The sequence below is a fragment of the Homo sapiens genome, chromosome 5 (assembly GCF_000001405.40).
Source record: "Homo sapiens chromosome 5, GRCh38.p14 Primary Assembly".
NCBI lineage: Eukaryota > Metazoa > Chordata > Mammalia > Primates > Hominidae > Homo > Homo sapiens.
Window position 1 is genome coordinate 158,583,664 of NC_000005.10, and position 22,446 is coordinate 158,606,109.

The 22,446-nt window shown below is 41.4% G+C and overlaps 3 annotated features.

The window, feature by feature from the left end:
- Positions 7,097–8,396: an enhancer, noted in NCBI's record as "VISTA enhancer hs1208". NCBI's record gives its function as "enhancer in: limb[9/10] | branchial arch[9/10]" and the evidence as "EXISTENCE:transgenic organism evidence [ECO:0001131][PMID:17130149]".
- Positions 7,097–8,515: a biological region, named in NCBI's record as "VISTA enhancer hs1208".
- Positions 7,887–8,515: an enhancer, noted in NCBI's record as "H3K27ac hESC enhancer chr5:158018558-158019186 (GRCh37/hg19 assembly coordinates)". NCBI's record gives its function as "activates a minimal SCP1, AML or CMV promoter by ChIP-STARR-seq in primed H9 embryonic stem cells {active_cell/tissue: H9 hESC(primed)}" and the evidence as "EXISTENCE:reporter gene assay evidence [ECO:0000049][PMID:30033119]".

Here is a 22,446-nt window from a genome sequence, read left to right on the forward strand (position 1 = left end):
GTTGATCAGTGACCCTACCCCCAACCCTGCGCTCTCTGAAACATGTGCTGTGTCCACTCAGGGTTAAATGGATTAAGGGTGGTGCAAGATGTGCTTTGTTAAACAGATGCTTGAAGGCAGCATGCTCGTTAAGAGTCATCACCACTCCCTAATCTCAAGTACCCAGGGACACAAACACTGCTGAAGGCCGCAGGGTCCTCTGCATAGGAAAACCAGAGACCTTTGTTCACTTGTTTATCTGCTGACCCTCCCTCCACTATTGTCCTATGACCCTGCCAAATCCCCCTCTGTGAGAAACACCCAAGAATGATCAATAAAAAATAAATAAATAAATAAAAAATAATAATTAAAAAAAATAAAAATTAAAAAAAAAAAAAAAAGAAATTTTTCAATTTCTTTCTTCATTTCTTCATTAACCCACTGGTCATTCAAGAGCATATTGCTTAATATCCATGTATTTGTATAGTTTTCAAAATTCCTCAATTATTAATTTCTAGTTTTATTCTATTGTGGTCAGAGAAGATGCTTGACATTATTTCAAATTTTTTGAAATACAAAAACAATCTTAACAGAACCCAGCCACAAGTACTATTTTATAACCCATTATTTAATCTGATAACAACTTAACACTGTTTGCATAAATGAACAAGCAAAAAGAAAACTATTAATAATAAAAAGTCAGCCAGGTGCGGTGGCTCATGCCTGTAATCCCAGCACTTTGGGAGGCCGAGGCCGGCGGATCACGAGGTCAGGAGATCAAGACGATCCTGGCTAACATGGTGAAACCTCGTTTCTACTAAAAATACAAAAAATTAGCTGGGCATGGTGGCGCACGCCTTTAATCCCAGCTACTTGGGAGGCTGAGGCAGAAGAATTGCTTGAACCTGGGAGGTGGAGGTTGCAGTGAGCCAAGATTGCACCACTGCACTCCAGCCTGGGCGACAGAGTGAGACTCCATCTCAAAAAAAAAAAAAAAAAAGAGTAATAATGAGAAGAAGTCTATGCCTTAACTTTGTCCCCCTGCTTTTTAACTTCCTGTTGTTTCTATTTATATCTTATTGTACTGTCTTTTGTCTACAAAAGTTGTAGCTATTTTTTAATTGATTCATCATTTAGTCTTTCTACTTAGGATAAGAGTAGTTTAGACATCACAGCTAGTGTTTTGATATTCTGTGTTTTTCTGTGTACTTACTATTACCAGTGACTTTTGTACCTTCAGGTGATTACTTTTTGCTCATTAACATCCCTTTCTTTCTGATTGAAGTACTCCCTTTAGCATTTCTTGTAAGACAAGTCTGGCATTGATGAAATCCCTCGGCTTTTGTTTGTCTGAGAATGTCATTATTTCTTCTTCATGTTTGAAGGATATTTTCACCAGATATACTATTCTAGGGTAAAAGGTTTTTTTCCTTCAGCACTTTAAATATGTCATGCCACTCTCTCCTGATCTGTAAAGTTTCCACTGAAAAGTCTGTTGCTAGACACCAAGTTAGACTTCCAAGTAGAACATTTTGGAGCTTCATTGTATGTTATTTGTTTCTTTACTCTTGCTGTTTTTAGGATCCTTTCTTTATCCTTGACCTTTGGAAATTTGATTATTAAATGCATTGAGGTAGTCTTCTTTAGGTTAAATCTGTTTGGTGTTATATAACCTTCTCATTCTTGAATATTGATATCTTTTTTCTAGATTTGGGAAGTTCCTTGTTATTTTTTCCTTTGAATGAACTTTCCATCCTTATTTCTTTCTCTACCTCCTCTTTAAGGCCAATGATGCTTTGATCTGCCCTTTTTAGCTATTTTTCTAGATCCTGTAGGCAAGTTTCTTTTTTCAAAATTCCTTTTCTTTTTTCTCCTCATTCTGTGTATTTTCAAATAGCCTGTCTTCAAGCTCACTAATTCTTTCTTCTGCTTGATCGATCTATCCTGCTATTAAAGAGCTCTGATGCATTCTTCAGTATACCAACTGCATTTTTCAGCTCTAGAATTCCTGCTTGATTCTTTTTAATTATTTCAATCTCTTTGTTAAATTTACCTGATAGAATTCTGAATTTCTTCTCTGTGTTTTCTGAAATTAACACAGCTACTTTGAATTCTCTGTCTGAAAGGTCACAAGTCTCTGTTTCTCCAGGATTGGTTCCTGGTGGCTTATTTAGTTCATTTGGTGAGGTTATGTTTTCCTGTATGGTGTTGATGCTAGTAGATGTTCTTTGGTGTCTACACATTAAAGAATTAGGTATTTATTGTAGACTTCACTGTCTGAGCTTGTTTGTACCCATCCTTCTTGGAAAAGCTTTCTGGATATTTGAAAGTACTTGGGTGTTATAATCTAAGTTGTATCTGGTTTAGGGAATACCCCCAGACCAGTAACACTGTGGTTCTTGCAGACTGGTGGTGGTCTTGGACAAGGTCTGGAAGAATTCTCTGGATTACCAGGTAGAGACCCTTGTTCTCTTCTCTTACTTTCTCCCAAACAAATAGAGTCTCTCTCTCTCTCTCTCTCTCTCTCTCTCTCTCACTCTGTCTCTCTCTCTTTCTCTTTCTCTTTCTCTTTCTCTTCTGAGCCACCTAAAGCTGGGGGTGGAGTGACCCAAGCATCCCTGTGGCCACTTCCACTGTGACTGCACTGGGTCAGAGCTGAAGTCAGAACAGCACCGAGTCTCACCCAAGGCCTGCTGTAAACACTCTCTGGGTACCGCTTATGTTCACTCAAGACCCTGGGGCTCTATAATCAGCAGGTCACAAAGCCAGTCAGGCCTGTGTTCTTCTTCCCTTCAGAATGGCAAGTTTCCCTAGGCCCTGGTGGGTCCAGAAGTATCATCCAAGAGTGAGATACTAGAGTCAAAAACCTTAGATGTCTACTTGGTGTTCTATTGTACTGTGACTTGGCTGCCACTCAAACCACAAGACACAGTCATTCCCAGTCTTTCCTCCCCTTTCCAAAGGTAGAGGAGCCTCACCCTGTAGCCACCACCACCACAGGCCATGGGGAATATGGTAAGACTACCAAGGAAGTTCTCTTAATGTCCCAGAGCTCTTAAGTCAGCTTGTAGAGAATGTTGCCTGGCGTGGGACTGACCCTTCAAGTTTGGGCTCCTCTCTGGCCCAGAGCAGGTCCAGAAATGCCATCCACAAGTCAAGTCCTGGAATCAGGGACCCCAAGAGCCTGCTTGGTGTTCTACTCTCTTGAGGTTATACTGGTTCCTGAATCCAGCAACTCTCAGAGGCTCACCCAAGGCCCTTGATGTAGTATCTGGGTATTGCTGCTGGTTATTCAGGACCCAAGGGCTCTTTAGTTAGTAGGTGATGAATTCTCCCAGGACTGAGTCCTTTCCTTCAAGGCAGCGATTCCCTTCTGGCCCAGAGTGTGTCTAGAAACGTTGTCTGGGAGCTAGGGCCTGAAACAGGGGCCTCCCAACTCTGACTGGTGCCCTATGGTGCTGTGGCTGAGCTGGTATTCACGAAGAAAGACAAAGCCCCTCCACTCTTTCCTCTCCCCTCCTCAAGCAGAAGGAAGCGGTCTCTTTTGGAGCTGGAAGCTGTGCAGCTTGGGGTTAGGAGAGGGGTGAGGCCAGCATTCCCTTAGCCACCCCAGTTTATGTCTCAGTATGTTGAGTTCTCCCCAGTCCACTCTCTCTGGGCCCAGTTTAGCACTAGGATTCACCTAAGAGTTGCAGTTCTTATGGCCTAGACTGCCTTTCAAGTTTACTTAGCACCTCAGAGCACTGTAGCCATCAGTGGGGAGGTCTGCAGGCACTCAAGCTTCTGGCCTCTGGAATCAGCGATTCCCACCCGACTAGCTAGGGCTGGTTCAAAGCTCCCTTCATGGGCAAGCGTCAGCTGAGTTTGGTCCAATTTTCCTTTCTGCTCTAACAGGACAGCACTGAGTTCAATGCCTTACAGTTTCTCTGGTCTCCCTCCCGCAGCACCCAGAGACACTCTCAGCACCACAGAGCTGCTGCTGGGGGTTGGGGAGGGGTGGCATCAGAGATTCCGGACTGTTTTTCTTCTTCAGTGCCTCTTTCAGCAATACAAAGTTAACACCAGGTACTATGAGGACTCATCTGATTTTTGGTTGTTATGAAGGGTTTTTTTTTTCTGTGTAAATAGTTGTTAAATTGGTGTCCTTATGGTGGGGACAATCAGTGGAGCCATCTATTCTTCCATCTTGCCAAACCCTGATGTCTTAATGCATCCATTGTATGTAACAAGAAAGGAGATTTGTCACATAATGACGATAATTACTATTAAGAGTGAGCACTGAGCACACACCTGTGCCAGGCACTGTTCTAAGTGCTGCACATGTATAAGTTTTCCCTTAATTGTCACCACTATGATATGAAGCAGGTACTATTATTATCTCCATTTATAGATAAGAAAATTAAAGCACTGAGTGGTTAACTAACTTACCCAAGGTCACACAGTCAGAGAAAGGCAGAGCTGGGGGATTGATGGTTGACTGATGGATTGATTTAGGAATAGCTACTTTTTTCAACATAGTAATTCAATCTGCTGACCTTGAAACCATGGATTCAAATGCCAGCTCTATTCCTTACTATCAGATCATTTTAAACCAAGTTTCTCATAGTTAAAATAATAAATTATAGCATCTAACCTCATAGGTATGTGGGAATATTATATGAGTTAACTCATGTAATAGTGTGAAACCTGGAATACTGGCTGGCACCAAGTAAGCAATATTATTAATACTATTATTATTTCTTCGTGTATAACTTAGGCAGAATGACTTGACAGCTTGTGTTCTAACTACCACCCTGTATTATCTTCCTTCTAGATTCCATATCCTCAGTTCCATAGCTGAATGGTTGACACACCTGAAGCAGTCGATAACATTTGATGAATAAATGAACGAATGAAAAGATACATGAACTGCTGAATGCATTAGTAGAAGATAGAGAGGAGAATTAAGTCTTATCCTATATGTAGAGTTTGGAAGGGAAAACAAACATTTCTTAGGAAATGCCAATAATCACCTATGTTTAATATTGTTAATGAATCAGGAAATGTGCCTTCCTTCCAAGAAAAATGACCAGCTTATCTACACTACAGGAAACAACAGGCCTTTAGACCTCCTAAGCACCCCCCAAGCATGGGATCCCTCTCATACTTTCTGTTTGCTCCTTCATTTGCACCTAAACCCAGCCCAGTCTGTGCTGTGAATTTCATGGTCATAGCTTATGCCAGTAAAAAGCCTTTCATGCTCTGCTAATGTGGCATTTGTTTGGTAATATGTGGGAGAGAGCATTAAAAAGAAATCCAGAAACGGCATCTTATAAATTTGGATTTTCTGTTCTCATAATTTATAGGAGTTCATGTTAGAGAGCACTGTCTTATGCATAAATACAATTTCTTTGTGAGCTGATGATGGAATTTATATCAAAGGGGGTCGAACATATACTTCATGAACTCAGCATCCACTATTATAAGCTATTTCATGTATAACTGGAGATGAATGATCTCTCCCCCTGTTTGTCTTAACTTAAAATTCAGTTGGTTTGCTTGAATTCATTTCCAAGGCATGGAAGTGGGGGAAGGGAATTCAAGATTGATACAGCTTTAATATAATCAATTCTAAACATATCTCTAGACAAATAATTTAAAAATCTATGCATCACAAAACACCTCTATTAATTTCAGAATACATAGTTTGGTGAATTTTTATGTGATTGTGGGTTTGTGTGTTTAAGGAGATTAAAAAAAAATCATCCTCTCTTTCCTTTCCCCTCAGAAAGAAATTTTAACAGGAATGTTTTGAAATAAAGTCCCACAAGGAAACAATCCCCCCAGATAATTCAACGGGGAGAAGTTCCCCTGAGGGCAGACCAAAACAAAATTCATAAAAATAATTGCTGTGCTGGGTTTCTGCTGTATTTTGGCTGGGCATAAGCAGAACAGCGGGGGCCTGTGCACATACTCACAGAAAACACACACACACACAAACACACAGAGTAAGTGTGTCCCTCCATGGAGCAGGCTTATGACACTGTTGTGTGTAACTACCTGGCCAGACTCGGGTCTTTCTGGCAAGATGCAGTGATTTGGAGGCTGTAGCCAATATAAAATAACAATCAGGTCATTTACAAGGTTCTGCCAAATATTAACCTTATATCCAATTCTCCCCCAACCTTTCAGAGTCTCTAATGTGAACCAGGCCAGCCCCCCCAATCATTTTACCATATTCTGGAATGGGGGTGGAGGCAGTAGGCAAGTTGGGGAACTCAGTACACACTTGTTAGAAATAAAATATTTTAAGGGTGTGTGTTTATACCAAGATAATGATGTAGTTTGTTGGCCTTTTTTTTTTTTAAGTGCCTGAAAGATTGTTTAATTGCCCTCTCTTTCCTTAGGGGAAACTCAAAGGTTAATCCGTCCAAGAAAGTGGGGTTTGCATTTGCCCTGAAGATAACAGAATTATTTGAGCTGTGGTCGAGGGTGTAGGAAACTGTGGTTTAAGGCCAGGTGGCTGAGAGTGTTTTGGCAGGGAGGATTGAAGTTATGGTTTTGTGTCTGTGTTGGGGAATTGCTTTGGACAGAATCATGCGGTACTGGGTTTAATGCTGCACTCAGGAGCATGCTCAGACAGCTAATATTGTATTAATATTTATTATTAACATAGCTTCATAGTTATTTTTAGCACTTCAAAAGAGATCACTGATTTGTACCATAGCCTCTACTTCTCCACTTCTCATTTTTTAAGCAACCACACTGGAGCCCCTCTTGTGTGCCAGACACTACGTCCTATTTAATCTACACAAGAGGTCGATACTGTCAATATCTCCATTTTAGAAATAAGGAAAAGGAGGTTTCTTGGACTGGGAAATACCTCTCCCAGGTCAAGTGGCTACAGAATATAAAGCTAAAGGCAAGCCCCCTAACTTGGTCCATACTCCATTCTTCCCTCTTAAGAGAGCATAGCCCTCCATGCCTGGATCCATTCTGCAGACATTTCTAGTCTTTGCTTTCAAATGCCAGTGAAGCCAATGGTACTGCACTAGTCTGAGCCATGTCATAGAGAACTTCTAAACTTCTCAAGCCAGCCATGATCACCAAGATTCAATGGATAAAATAATTCCTAAGTAAGCCCATCTGTCTGAAGCATAGATTGTATTCATTCTCTGTCCCTGCTGTATAAATTCTAGCCAAGTTTTCCTTCCCTCTCTAAAGGCCGATCATACCTTCCGACTGAAGGCCTTGGAGAACTTAAATGCAATTTCTATGCTGAAATTAAGCCAGGTGAAGGTTTCAACAATAACAACAACAAAACTGGTCCCTCTGGGTCTTCTCTCAAAACTGTTGGTATCACTACTTCTTTGGAAGCAGAGGTGATATTTCTTGACAGCCAAGACACTATATCTTACAGTTAGTTAGTCTTCTTTGAATGTATTTCTTTTTTTGTGGAGTGGAGCCTAGGGAGGGGGGTGGGGCTCAAATTCTTTAGTGAATGGAGTGTTAGAATAAACAGCTCTGCATGAATGCTGGGATAATGTTTTAAAGTGAGTACCAGCCAATGCAGTCAGGAGAAGCAGTTTTAACAGCAGGGCTGTTATTTTAACAATAGGTTACCAGATCCATTGGGCAATCTGACTAAAAGCCCATATTTATTTCCCTAATTTTATAAACATTTAATAGGTCCTTATTAAACACATCAGCCAGCATGATTTAATAACACAATCAGTCTAGAAGTTTAAGAAAATTGAAAACAGGATTTGAATGTAATGCAGCCACAATTACTGGAGATTATAGGGAATCATTCCCATATGTCTCCAGTGGAGAGCTGCTAATCTCTGTTTGCGTGGAGGTGATTTCCTTTGGAACCCTGCCCAGCCTTCAACAGCACTAGGGCTGAACAAATTAGATTTGAAAGTCCCCAATTTTATGACTAAGGTAATACACTCTGTGTATTTAGAGAAACACTGAGTTCCTATTTTCACTGGCTCTCAAACGCTGGACAGAGACCTTGATTTCATTTAGTTTGGCTCCACTTAGAATACGGTCATAGGTCTGAAGGGGTCAGCATATGTTTTTGTGTGACTTTCATAGGTATTCTAATTCCTCTCCACCCACAATGCTGAGGCGTTTGCATCATGGCTTGGTGACGACAGATCTCAGGAATGTGCTGCAATTAGACCTGGAAGACAGCCGGCTTCTAGGGGCCTGGGGACCCGCACCTTCCTCTAATAAACTTTTGCGCCTCCATCTCATTCCCCGTCCTCCGCTCATGGTACCCTCCGAGTGGCTTTTCTTATCCTGAGAGAATAGCAACCTGGGAAACTAGGCTTTGTTTTTCTCTTTCTTACGCAGCTTCTGGAAAAGGTGAACTCTGCAAAGAGACAGATTTTCTTGATTCTGGGTAAAGCAGCAAGGACCAGTAGGCTAAAGATGAAAGTCTTGGGGGCTGCAATATTAGGAACAAACCCAAAAGCAGCATTTCTATTAGTATTAGCCTGAAATAGTGCTGGATGGTTTCCACCTTGATGTTTGCCTCCCATCCTGCCTCTTATTTTTGTAGAATGAGTGAAATATAGTAACAATGACTCCCAATTCTTGAACATTTACTGTGTGCCAGCACATTACGATACTGCCAGCTTTAAGCTTCACAATAACCCAATAAGATCAGTATTATCAACCACACCTTATAGAAAAAGAAACAGATTCTGTTGACTTTGGAACCTTCCTGTGGTCTCAGCAAAGCAAAGATTCAAACTCAGAGGGCATTGACTTAGAAGTTCCTTTTATATATATATATATATATATACTTTAAGTTCTGACATACATGTGCAGAATATGCAGGTTTGTTACATAGATATACACGTGCCATGGTGGTTTGCTGCACACATCAAACTGCCATCGACACTCAGTATTCCTCCTAATGCTATCACTCCCCTAGCCCCCCACCCGCCTACAGGCCCTGGTGTGCAATGTTCCCCTCCCTGTGTCCATGCGTTCTTATTATTCGACTCCCACTTATAAGTGAGGACATGTGGTGTTTGGTTTTCTGTTCCTGTGTTAGTTTGCTGAGAATGATGGTTTCCAGCTTCATCCATGCCCCTGCAAAGGACATGAACTCATCCTTCTTATGGCTGCATAGTATTCCATGATGTATACGTGCCACATTTTCTTTATCCAGTCTATCATTCATGGGCATTTGGGTTGGTTCCAAGTCTTCGCTATTGTGAATAGTACTGCAATAAACATACGTTTGTGTGTGTCTTTATAAGAGAATGCTTTATAATCCTATCCTTAATCGCTATTTGGAGTGTGTTTCTTCCAATAATGGTAAAGATAATGAGATGACAACAATGCCTTATGTGTGCATGAAAAGGAAGTGTACCTTTTCCTAGACATCTTTCCACTCAATTCAAGAGTTCTAGTTAGTTTCTTCCTGGTAACTTCCCTTACTGTGGTGCTTTTGGCTTTTGAAGATCCAGAAGCAACAAGAGGAGGAAGAGGTAAAGGGCTAGTGGAAGAAATCTGGGTAATTCTGAAGAGAAATGTTGAGCAGCTTGCAGAGAATGAGAGAAAATGCGATTTTACAGCTCTTGAGTTAAAACTTATTTATGATTTACCATGTACCCGGCACTGTTCTAAGCACCTGTCTTGTATTTCCCTTCATTTCAATCCTCCCAACAATTGTGTGAGGTAGTTCCATCTTAAAGTAATCCTACTTTACCCACATTAAGTAACTTTTTTAAAGTGACCCAGCTAGTAAGTGGCACAACCAGGATTTATGCCCAGACATTCTGGGTCTAGTGCCAACCCTCACCACTGTGCTAAGACATTGTGTATCAACTAGTCCTTCGCTTGGAGAAATGCAAGGAGGGAACTCATGTTGCTTTCAGGTTAGTTTTTGCTTGCTGAACTATATATATTTGACCTTCACTGAGCCCCTTGCCTGAAGCCCTCAGCAGGTTTATCTAAGCAGGTGGGATTAAAACCTTTAATTTATTGAGTTGACTTTACAACCTAAGCCCACATCCTCCTCCCCACCGCATGCACCCACCACAATCATATGTGTTCAACTCACAGTCACAAACATCTCCATTAACATATATTAAGGTTATATGTGCTGAGATTTAAAACAAAATGGAACCACTTTGAACCCTTTAGGCAAACAAGAACACCAGAAATCTCCATTCACCCTCCATCCTCGCCAAAGATTTGATGGTTCCCCTAAGGGCAGAATATTTGAACACCCAGTCGTCAGTGTATACAGACTTTTGTTCATTTCTTTAACCTAGAGCAATCATTACTCAACTCTAGCATGTATAAGAATTTCTGTAGATCATTGGATGCACTAAACAAAAGGGTACCCACTGAGTGTGATGGGTAAAGACAACTCTGCCTCCCCTGCTGATGCCAGGTGAGAGCATCCAGGTGAGAGCAACAGGTGAGTTGAGTCAGTGACCCACAATGCTTTGAGGCTTTTGAAGTGCCTCAACCACCTCCTTCTCAGTTACACCAACTCTGCGAGGTCACCAGTCCAGTTCCTGGCCCCAGGAGGCATGTGAAAGTAAATTAAAATGGAGACCAGGACTGAAGAATCCCTGAGCAGACCAAGCCAGGTAGGCCTCATCAGTGAGTTTAACCCTCCTTGATTTGCAAGCATGAACAAAACTTAACTTGAGCTAGTTTTCTTGTAAATGCCTATATTAAAGAAAAATAGAACTTAAGCTCAACCAATCAGGAGCAGCCAAAACACTTATCATTATATAAGTAGGGGCCTTCCAGCAAGAGAGACCAAATAAGGCAGCCGTATGACTATAACCAATCAAATATTTGCTTTGCTTTACTTCCAATTTTATCCTATAAAAACCTCCCTCTCGTGTTCCTCTGGTGGAGCTTCCGAGCCACTTCCAATTTGGAACTACCAGATTCATGAATCACTGTTTGCACAACTCAACTCTTTCAAAATTTATTGTGCCTCAGTTTGCCTTTTTAGCAGGTGTCATATTTCAAGCTCCGTTTCATCGAGGGCCTCATCTGAAGTCAAAATGTGCTGGACTCTAAAGAGAGCCTCAAAACTGCCCTGAAATCCAGTTTTTTCACATAGAGTAGCATCTTTTGTCATCATCCAACTTTTACCATGAAAGGGTCAAATGGCTTCTAGAAGCCATTGAACACAGCAGCCTGATGATGTAACAACTTTTTAAAAGAAATTCAAATAAGTTCTGCTGAAATGTCTACAAAAAAATCCAACTAAATCAATATCAGATACGATTTTGTGCTTCTAAAAGACAATACCTTCTAGAATATCATCACATTCCATCACTAAATATTTTATTTAATCAAAGTTTGTTGGTGTAGACTTTCTGCCAAATCCTCAGGGTGAATTCTAATTACACAGTGTAGCCAGGTGTTTACAGAGCATGACCTTTTTAGAGACTGTCTGCCTGGCTTTGTAACCTTGCCCAGCCAACCACTAGCTTTGTGTCCATGGGCATGCTTACTTCATCTCTCTGTGCATCAGATTTCCCATCTCTAATATGGGGACAATGACGGAATCTGCCTCTTGGTGTTGTCGTGAGTATTAAATCAGTTAATCTATGCAAAGTACTTGGAACAGTGCCTGGCACACATGAAGAGTTCAATCAGTGTTATCTCCTATAGTATCAAATGGGAAAATGCCTTAGTCAAGATGAGAGTCATTGAACAAGATATAAGTTTGTCTTCACAATAAATAAAATCAATTCAGCGGTATGTAGTGGACCAAGGATGGAGTTTTAGAGTCAGACAAACCTGAGTTTGCATTCTGGCTCTGCCTCTTTCTATAACTGTCATCCATGTAACTGCTGGAGGCTTAATGAATGGCAACTGCATGAGGCAGCATGATAGTCAGATGTGTGAACTTCAGAGCCACTTCTGGATTCCAACCCTCTGTCACTTAATACCTATCTGATTATGGAAGAGACATTCACACTTTCTGTACCTCAGTTTCCTCCTCTGAAATAATGAAACAATAAAGCCTGTGGGAGTTGTAGTGAAGGTTAAATGAGATATGTGTATAGTTCCTGATAGGTAATCAACACTCAATAAACTGTAAAAATGCTGCTGTTAATCTTTTCCAAATCACATAGGTAGTGGTTACCTCCAAAGTCAGATCTCATGAGAGAGACAATTCTATTAAGTGTTCTAAAATACATGTAACATGCCAGGTGCGGTGGTTCATGCCTGTAATCCCAGCACTTTGGGAAGCTGAGGTGGGCGGATTACGAGGTCAGGAGATCGAGACCATCCTGGCTAATGTGGTGAAACCCCGTCTCTACTAAAAATATAAAAAATTAGCCACGCGTGGTGGTGGGTGCCTGTAGTCCCAGCTACACGGGAGGCTGAGGCAGGAGAATGGCCTCAGGAGAGTGAACCCGGGAGCTGGAGTTTGCAGTGAGCCAAGATCGCCCCACTGCACTCCAGCCTGGGCGACAGAGTGAGACTCCGTCTCAAAAAAAAAAAAAAAAAAAAAATACATGTAACATATAATGTACTATCTTAGCCATTTTTATATATACAGTTCAGTGGTATTAAGTCATTCCCATTATTGTGCAGGCCTCACAACCATCCACCTTTAGAACTTTTCATCTTGGAAAACTGAGACTGTCTACCCATTAAACAATAGCACCCCATGCCCCTTTCCCCAGCCACTGAAAGAAAAACCATTCTACTTTCTGTCTTTATCAATGTGTCTACTCTAGGTACCTTATATAGGTAGACTCATACAATATTGGGTTTTTGTGACTCACTTATTTCACTTAGCATGATATCCTCAAGGTTCATCCATGTTGCAGCATGCATCAGAATTTCTTTCCTCCTAAGGCTGAGTAATATTTTGTTGTATGTCTATACCACATTTTTTTAATCCATTCTTCTGTCAATGTACACTTGGGTTGCTTCTGTGTTTTAGCTATTGTGAGTAGTGTTGTTATAAAGATGAGTGTGTAAATATCTGTTCAAGGCCCTCATATCAATTATTTTGGGTATATACCCAGAAGTGGAATTGCTGGATCATATGGTAGCTCTACTTTTTATTTTTTGAGGACCTACCATACTGTTTTCCACAGCAGCTCCACCATTTTGCAATTCTGCTAACAGAGCACAAGGGGCCAATTTCTCTGCATCTTTGTCAACACTTGTTATTATCTGGAGTTTTTTTGATAGTAGTATCCTAAAGGGTGTGAGCTAATGTCTCATTATAGTTTTGATTTGCATTTCTCAAATGATTAACAATGTTTAGCTTTTTTTGTGCTTATTGGTCATTCATAAATCTTCTTTGGAGAAATGTCTATTCAAGTCCTTTGACCATTTTTTAGTTAGGTTGTTTATTCTTGTTGTTGCTGAGTTGTAGAGAAAGACATTTTTAAAGATACTCTCAGAGACTTATTTTATGAAAAATATTTTTTCTTTATTCCTCAGAAAAATAAAGGGAACATTCTTACTGGAGAGAAAAATAGGAACTATAAGGTTATTTTGTGATAAGGTACATATAAAATGCCCCTTTCCCTAGGAATGGCTTACACAGAGGCCTCAGGTAAGGGACTGCAGGGAAGGCCTGCACCTCTTCCAGCCTAGCTCCAGCCCCAGCCCCAGTACCCTGTGCCTGTAGGGCAGACACAAGCACTTCTGCCTTTTGGGGCCTGGCATATTAGGGTGTCCACTTAGGCCCCATTAAAAATGGCCACCCTAAAGTGAAAAAAGCCAGTGTCTTTGTTCATTTTTGTGCTTCTGTAATAAAATACCACAGACAGGGTAGGTTATACACAATAGAAATTTATTTCTCACAGTTCTGGAGGCTGTGAAGTCCAAGAACAACGCCCTGGCAAGTCATGTCTGGTGAAGGCTGCCCTCTGCTTCAAGATGGCACCTTGGATATTGTGTCCACACATGGCAGAAAGTGGAAGGGCAAAAAGGGCCTAGTCTAGTTCCCTCCAGCCCTTTTATTAATATAAGGCACTAATCCATTCATAAGGGCAGAGCCCTCAAGACTTAGTCACTTCCCAAAAGGGCTTACCTCTTAATGGGGATTAAGTTTCAAAAAGAATTTTGGAGAGGACACATTCAAACCATAGCAGCAAGTCTCAGAAGGACAAATACTACATGATTCCACTTATATGAGGTATCTGAAATAGTCAAATTCATAAGAACAGAGAGAAGAATGGTGGTTGCCAGGGGCTGGAGGAGAGGACAACGTAGAGCTGCTGTTCAATGGGTATAAGGTTCCAGTTACGCAAGATGAATACCTTCTAGAGATCTGCTGTACAACATTGTCCCTATAGTTAACAATACTATGCTGTGCACTTAAAATCGTGTTCAGAGGGTAGATCTCATGTTAAGTATTCTCACCATAATAGTAATAACAATAACATGGTTACCACTGGGGATTCTGGTACCTGGAATGGCAGCTGGCTTCTGGATGACTTCAGTGGAAAACCATGCTTCACGAGTTACTGGACACTGCTTTCTGAGCCTCCTTCCCCAGGCCACACCCACTCTACAGCTTGAAACACTAATACTTCCTTTTTTTTTTTTTTTTTTTTTTTTTTGAGACGGTGGCCCAGGCTGGAGTGCAGTGGCGCGATCTCGGCTCACTGCAAGCTCTGCCTCCTGGGTTCACACCCTTCTCCTGCCTCAGCCTCCAGAATAGCTGGGACTACAGGCAGCCGCCACCACGCCTGGCTAATTTTTGTATTTTTAGTAAAGATGGGGTTTCACCGTGTTAGCCAGGATGGTCTCGATCTCCTGACCTCGTGATCTGCCCGCCTCAGCCTCCCAAAGTGCTGGGGATTACAGGCGTGAGCCACTGCACCTGGCCTAAAGCACTAATACTTCTCATAACATCCTATCACCTGAGAGAGTGAGCCCTGACACCCTCCCCTCTGAGTGTCCCCAGCTAACTCTTCAGTGAAGACTGAGCTGCATCTCCAAATGCCACACTAAAATCCTGATTTGCCTGCCCAGTTCATCTCTGGGGTGAGAGACCAGGAGAAACAGAAGACGGTTTTTACTAGAACCTAAAAACCTCAGTTCCTTGGGCACTCTTGCTGCCTGTACCAGTGTCCCAAAACCCAGCGCCTCCCTGGCACCATCTCCAGCCTCCATCCTTGTGGAATGGTGGGATCTTCCTGCTTTGCCTTACCAGGTGGGTAACACTGAATTCCCTGCCTTTGGCCTTTTTCACTTAACATTATTTAATTCCACTTTTACCCACAGCCTTCAGCCCTTAATTTAATATGCATTTACTCAACCACAGTCTGGGTGAACTTGCTAGGAAACAGAAAGGAAGGTCAAAATGTGAAGGGATGTGATGGATAAAAACCAATGGATAACTTTGATGAGGATGTGAGGCTGGGGGCCATCAAATGTTTAGCAGGAACCTGTGAAAATAACATTTCTGTGGTAATTCCTCCTAATATGCAGTGAACTGAGAACATTTCAGACATTTTATTTTCATGTCTTCTCTAATAATTGAAAAAATTTTAAAAAGCAAAATATCAGGGTCAAAATATTTCAGAGAGGTATTTTTTTTCACTTCTAGTTTGAAAGTAAATTGTTACTTTCTAAGCAAGCAAACAAAAAGGGCTTTTATGCATATCTGATTAGCTCATTTCCTTTGATTTTGGCGAGTGATGTCATTTGGGCCCAGCTGTTGGTATGCTGCAAATGATTTCCCTTCCTCATGTTTCAGCAAGTCATTTCTGCCCCTAATGGAATTACTTTGACTGGAACCCAGCATTTTTCATGGTTCACCTCTCCTATCAGCTGATACCCAGGACTCCTCTGGAAAAAATGAGGAAAGGCTACAAAGGCATTTAAATGCCTAGCAAACAATAACTTCACGTAGACTCTTATCAAGCAGTTGTCTTTTTGAAATCTGTTTGTGTCCAATGCCTTAGCTCCTCAATTCATCCAGTAAAATAACAGTGAGAGTCTGAAGTAGATGAAGGGTCTAAATTAAAGGGCCCTGCATTTTCAGAAGCAGGCCTGGCTTGCCCCTTTCTGCCTCATGTGCTTACAGCAGAGCTGACGTATTAACCCAACAGGGAAGGTAACGGAGCCATAGAAAGAACGGGGTAGCACACAGGAGCGGTGGCTTTCAAATTCTTCAGACTCAAGTCCACATTTGAGTGCCACGCCTTGCTAGCTAAGTTTCTGGGCGTCTTTATACCCCAGTTTCTTACCGGTAAAAAGAAGCTACTAAAAGTAAGCACAGATAGTGGGAGAGGCTGTGAATATGTGGGAACCAGGGGTTTATGAGGAACCTCTGCACATTTGCTCAGTTTTTCTGTGAACCTAAAGTTGCTCTAAAAAAATCATAAAATCTACCTTTTAAAAAAAAGCAACAGGACAGAGGGTTGCTGTGAAAACTGGCCCTTAAAGTACTTAGAACTCTACGTAGCACAGTCATCATTATGTGCTGCTTCTAAACTGGTTATTAGATGTTCGGGCACGGGGTTATCTGCTAGATCAATGCTTTTCAGCCTATGTACTCTTGACATTTGGGCCATTTAATTTTGTTGGGAATAGGGATGTCTTGTGAACTATAGGATGCTTAGCAGTATCCTAGCATCCCTGGTCTCTCTACTCACTAGATGCCAGTAGCAACTTCAATTCCCTCCCAACCAGTAGTGAAAACTAAAGACATCTCCAGACATTGCCAAATGTCTCCTGAGGGGTATAATTGCCCTTGGTTGACAATAACTATGCTAGGTTAAAAGAAAAACAATAATCAGTGCATTCAACGGCTCCACTGAATAGAAACACTTCATGGTCCCGGTGAAACTCTCTTTTTGAGAATTTTGCTTACTTGTTTCTCTAATTGTCAAGCGCTGCTTTCATCTGTTCAGACTGATCTCACAGCACACCTGGCTCACCTTAGCCCTGCCCCTGTTCTCCCACAGCTGGATGCACTGCCTTCCCTCTTCTGCTCTCTTCCTGTCTGAACACTTCCTAGCTTCGGCCTCCACCTCCTTCATTACTTCTTGAATACTTGAAGCCTTCGGAAGTCATCCTGTCTTCCCAGATTCTTAGTCTGCCACTCCATCTAGCAACTCATTTTACCTTGGCCCTGAGAGGATTGCCTGAGAGACTAGAGGTTTTAGAGCAGGAAAAGATGATACAAATCACGTAACCCAGCAGCCTCTAGGAGCAGATGAGGACGTTTGGATGTGGGAAGGCTACAGAACTTGTGTAAGGTCACAGTGCTGGTGATGTGGAGCTGGAATTATGACCTCTGCTTGGCAGCCGTCCCCCTGGAGTGGATGCTCCTGGGAGTTGGTCCCTGTGTCCAGCCTCTGTCTTCATACACAAATTATGTTTAGACAGGTTGGCCCATGCAGACTTATCAGTGGTTCAGAGATATCCAAAAGCTTTGTTCCTCTCATGGTGCTGAGTCTAAGAGATTTATCTTTCTTGCATCCCCTGCTTACACTAAACTTCCATTTAAGCTTAATAGCCAGAGAAGTGACTGTAAGCAGTTCTCCAACCTGAGCTTGCATTAGAATCACCTGGAGGGCTTTTTGAACCATAGAGAGCTGGGCTCCACCCCTGGAGTTTCTGATTCTGTGAAGGTGGGGTGGGTCTGGGACTTTGCATTCCCAGGTGATGCTGATATTGCTAACCCTGAGATCTTATTGGGAGAGCCTGAGAGAGAGTGGTTAAGAACCTGGACTTCACAACTGAACAACCCTGAGTTTCAGCTCCTGTTTCACCACCTTGGGCAAGTGACTCAACCTCGGTAAGCCTCAATTTTCTCATCTTTACATAAAGATAATCATTAGAAGTGCTCATTACGATGTGTTGTTACATATAACATCTTCAATTTTTGGCATTTACCAACTCGCAGCATGGGTCCTGACCAGAGGAGTAAAAAGAGGTCAATTTCCTTCTTTTTTTTTTTTAAGCTAGTGGCTTAAGAGGAAATAGAAAGTGAGGCTCAGTTTAATTTGGTATGGGACTCTGCAAAAACCATTTTACATATTAGCCAATTCTGTAAAATGGACCAAATGGCTCTTCTCCACTTCCCCCGATGTCCCCCGGACCTGTTGGTCAGGTAAGAGGATAGTAATGAGTACTCTGAAAAGAATTAATTAATAATATGACACTGCTATAAAAGTTCATTCCTGACTTGCCTCTTTCAGCAATAGTCCTCTGGAAGATGAGTTCTTCTCTTGCCTTTGTTTCTTTCCAAACCTGCGTAGCTTACCTTCCAGACGGGCACTTTCCTCCTCACTATAGCCCAAGTGAGTATCTCCCTTTTCTGATGAATCTCTATTGCCTAATTCCTACTTAACTATAAACAGCTTGCTTTGAAACTTACCTGCCTAATGAGTACTGTCTCCATGTCTCTTCTCTCCGATTAAACATTCTTTGAGGAAATGAACTATGCTTTCCATTTCTTTTGAATTACCCCTGAGTGCCTGGCATCATTCTATGAACAGTCAATAGACGAATGTTGATTAAATGTATATTGCCTAGTTTTCATAGAATGTCAAAGCTTTAAACAGGACATGGGAAAATAATTTCCTGTGTCTTCATATTTAAGATGTAGCTCTCTTCATCTTTTAGGTCATTCGTGCTTGTGTACAACGGGTTGGTCACGTCAGACTCCTAACAGCTCAAGCTGACTGCCTAGAGAAGGGTAACTCCCAGGGTCAATCTATTTGCAACACTTCCCTCTGATATTAACAAAACTATTTTTGGGGAGATCACAACCTTAGGAAAATGAAATATGTCTGGCTTTTCATTGTCATATCACTTTGTGACCAAAATTGTAAAAGCATTATGCTGAGCGGGTTACCCAGACTTCTCGAGTTAAATGGACGAACATTAAACTCCTAAAATAATGAAACCCCCGGAGTAATGGGAAGTGAAGCGGAAAAGAGGGAGCTGAGAGGGCTTCTAGTCCTATTTGTGTCCTACTAAAGTGTAGCCATAAAATATAATGGGCCAGTCGGGGTACATGTGGTTTAACTTGTATTCCCTCTCCTTTCCCAAACATGCCTTTTTTTAATAGGACAGTGATTCTACCAAAGATAGGTTTTCCTGGGGAGAAGTTGAGAGAGCCATGACCACAGTGGCCCATGGAGCATCCATGAAGTCTAAGGCCTTGCAGTGTTCTGAATGGGATTCCCTGTTGCCTTCTTTTTTCTTTTTTTCCTAGCATTTGTCCCTTTGGGAAAACTATTCCACCTCTTAGAATTCGATTTCCAGCTCCCTCTGTCCCACCACACCTTCAAAGAGGACTTGGTATACCGATTCCTTTTCACTACCAGTAGTGAAGCATGAGTCTAATCAGCAAAGGGCAGGGCCCCCAAAGCAGGCCGCTGGATGGAGGTGGTGGGACTTGCAAGAGGCAGCTTGACTTTCCTAGGATGCTCTTCAGTCTTCCATTTGGACCAGTAGCTCTTGACCATAGGTCATGACACACGCTTGCAAACGGTGTCACAAATAATGTGTTACTAAGCACACAGGACAGCACTGGTGAGTGATTTACTCTTTAAAAATTAAAGGTGAGATCAATGACTCCTAGGACAAAAGTCACTCTCATGTATTTCAATATGCTTTCTAGGGCAGAGCTCAACTATTGTCCCTACATATGCTTATGGCACTGAAAGTTGAATGATGAAAGTTGAAAGAGATTTTCAAAGATTGAGAAATACTGTATCCGATAAGAGTATTCCATCCTCTGACCCAATGAGTATAGTATATTGAACAAGACCTAGGCCTGGGGAATTCCTGTTCTGCCACTTACCAGCTATGTGAACTCAGGCAATGCTATTTAACTTTGAAGAATCTTGGATTTCCCGTCTGAAAATTAGGCAAATACAATCTAGCTCAGAGAATTGTGAGGATTAAGTGAAATGATGTCTGTGCTTATCAGAAATCTTTGTTTGCACACCCTGTGGTTCAACTGGCAGTCTCAACACTGAATTTTACTGACCTAGACTATAAGCTCCTTGAAGGCAGAAACCACATTTCACTCATCTTTGTATTTTCCTTGCCCTTCTGATGTGCCTAATATATGATGATTTTTTAAAAAGTGCTCATTGAATCATTGTTGAATGATTTTACAGTTTGCATCATTGCTGGTTGTATAATACAATTGGTTGCAAATGAATTTGCAAAGCAAGTTTCTGGCATACTTTTGGAGATGCAGATGGAGACCATGAAAATAGTTCCCAAGTTCCCAGATGATAGAGCATTATCTGTACTCAAACTCCTCAAGTACAATGAAGGAAAATTTCCAGTTGTCTATCTTCTGGATGCTTTAAACTTCATTTCTCGGGTAGTGGTTGATTAACTCTCAAATCATGTGTCTAGTGTCCAGTAATGGGCAGCATCTGATGTGTGAATTAATTTAATTGTGGGCCCAGATGTTACTTTCAGGAGCAATTTGCCTGTGATTTGAGGAGGTGGTCCCACACAGATCTGTTGGAAAGGAGAAAATTATAATGATGTTTTCAAAAACAGTCACAGCCAGGTGAAAGAGTAGCTGAACTCTTTCTGCCAGGGAGGCAGGATGTTATATGGGATTTAAAAGAAAAGCATACTATATGTGTTTCCTTTTCTAAACATCTGTGTTAGCCGGACCCCCACTTCCTGGGACATCAGGAAAGAACCAATATGAATCTCTCAAGAAGGAAGTGATTGTGCTCTGTCTTAAGTGGAAAAACTTTGAAGTTAAGGTCTTCCTCATATTTGTCCATGCAAAATTAAAAACGTTAAGTTGTTATACAGCAAACGTATTTGATCCTTGTTTTTGTTACTTTATTTACGATGATGACAATATGTTGCAACTGACATAAATTTCTGTAAGCAGTAAAACAAACAAGAACCTTTCAGTAAAGCTTATGCAATAGGATAGACCAAGGTAGATATGACTTACCTACTGCTTGATCCAGGCCTCAAATGGTATCTCCGGGATCTGTTTCTCTCTCTTCATTTCCCAGTGACCTGTCCCTTGGTGCTGCCTCCCTTGTCAGGCTCCACATATTCACAGAACTGTGGCAGTAGTCCCAGATTCTACATTCTCTCTGATTCACTTTTCAGAGGGAAAAGATAATGGTCTCTTTCCAGGATTCCTAGCCAAAGTCTCTTTGGGTAATTGCTCTGATTGGGTAATTGACCCCTCTCCAAGCCAATCACAAATGGTCAGGGGTAGAGATGTGACCCAGTGATGACTTAAGCCTGGCATACATACTTCATCTCAGAAGTTCATGGTTAGGACTTACCAACACAGATATCCATGGTCAATATTAATACCCAGTACTCTTGTCATGTATGAAGAGCTATGTGCCAGATATTACCTTATTATATCCCTGTAGCCTGTCATTCATTTATTCAGAGACCATATTGAGGTCCTACCATGATGAGAAAAAAAACAAAACAAAACATGGTCTTTACTCACAGTTTAGAAAGAGAACATAGCATGAGGTAAGGGTTACTATCTACATTTTACAGATGGGGCAACTGAGGGTTCCTGATGTTATTTCAGTTCCCTATAGTATTACATTTATTTTGACTTTTATTTTAAGTTCAGGGGTACAGGTGCAGGCTTGTTATATAGGTCAAGTTGTGTCATGGGGGTTTGTTGTACACATTATTTCATCATCGAGGTATTAAGCCTAGTACCCATTAGTTATTTTTCCTGATTCTCTCCTTCCTCCCACCCTCCACCCTCTAATAGGCCCCAGTGTGTGTTGTTCCCCTCAGTGTCTATGTATTCTCATCATTCAGCTCCCACTTACAAGTGAGAACATGTGGTATACGGTTTTCCATTCCTTGTTAGTTTGCTAAGGATAATGGCCCCCAGCTCCATCCATGTTCCTGCAAAGGATATGATATTGTTCTTTTTTATGGCTGCATAGTGTTCCATGTGTATATGTACCACATTTTCTTTATCCAGTCTACCATTGATGGGCATTTAGGTTGATTCCATGTCTTTGCTATTGTGAATAATGCTACAATGAACATACGCATGCATGTGTCTTCATGATAGAACAATTTATGTTCCTTTGGGTATATACCCAGTAATGGGATTGCTGGGTTGAATGGTAGTTCTATTTTCAGGTCTTTGAGTAATTGCCACACTGTTTTCCACAACAACATTACAATTATAGATGACCTTTGAACAATGCAGGAGTTAGGGGTGCTGACCCCAATGTGGTCAAAAATCCGTGTATAACTTTTGACTCCCCCAAAACTTAACTATTAATAGCCTACTGCTGACCAGGAGCCTTACTGATAAACAGTCGACTAATGAATATTTGGATGTTATGTGTATGATGTGCTATATTCTTATAATAAAGTAAGCTAGAGAGAAGACACTGAGAAAATCATAAGGAAGAAAAAATATATTTACTGTTCATTAAGTGGAAGTGGATCATCATAAAGGTCTTCCGTCCTCTTCATCTTCACATTGAGTAGGCAGAGGAGGAGAAG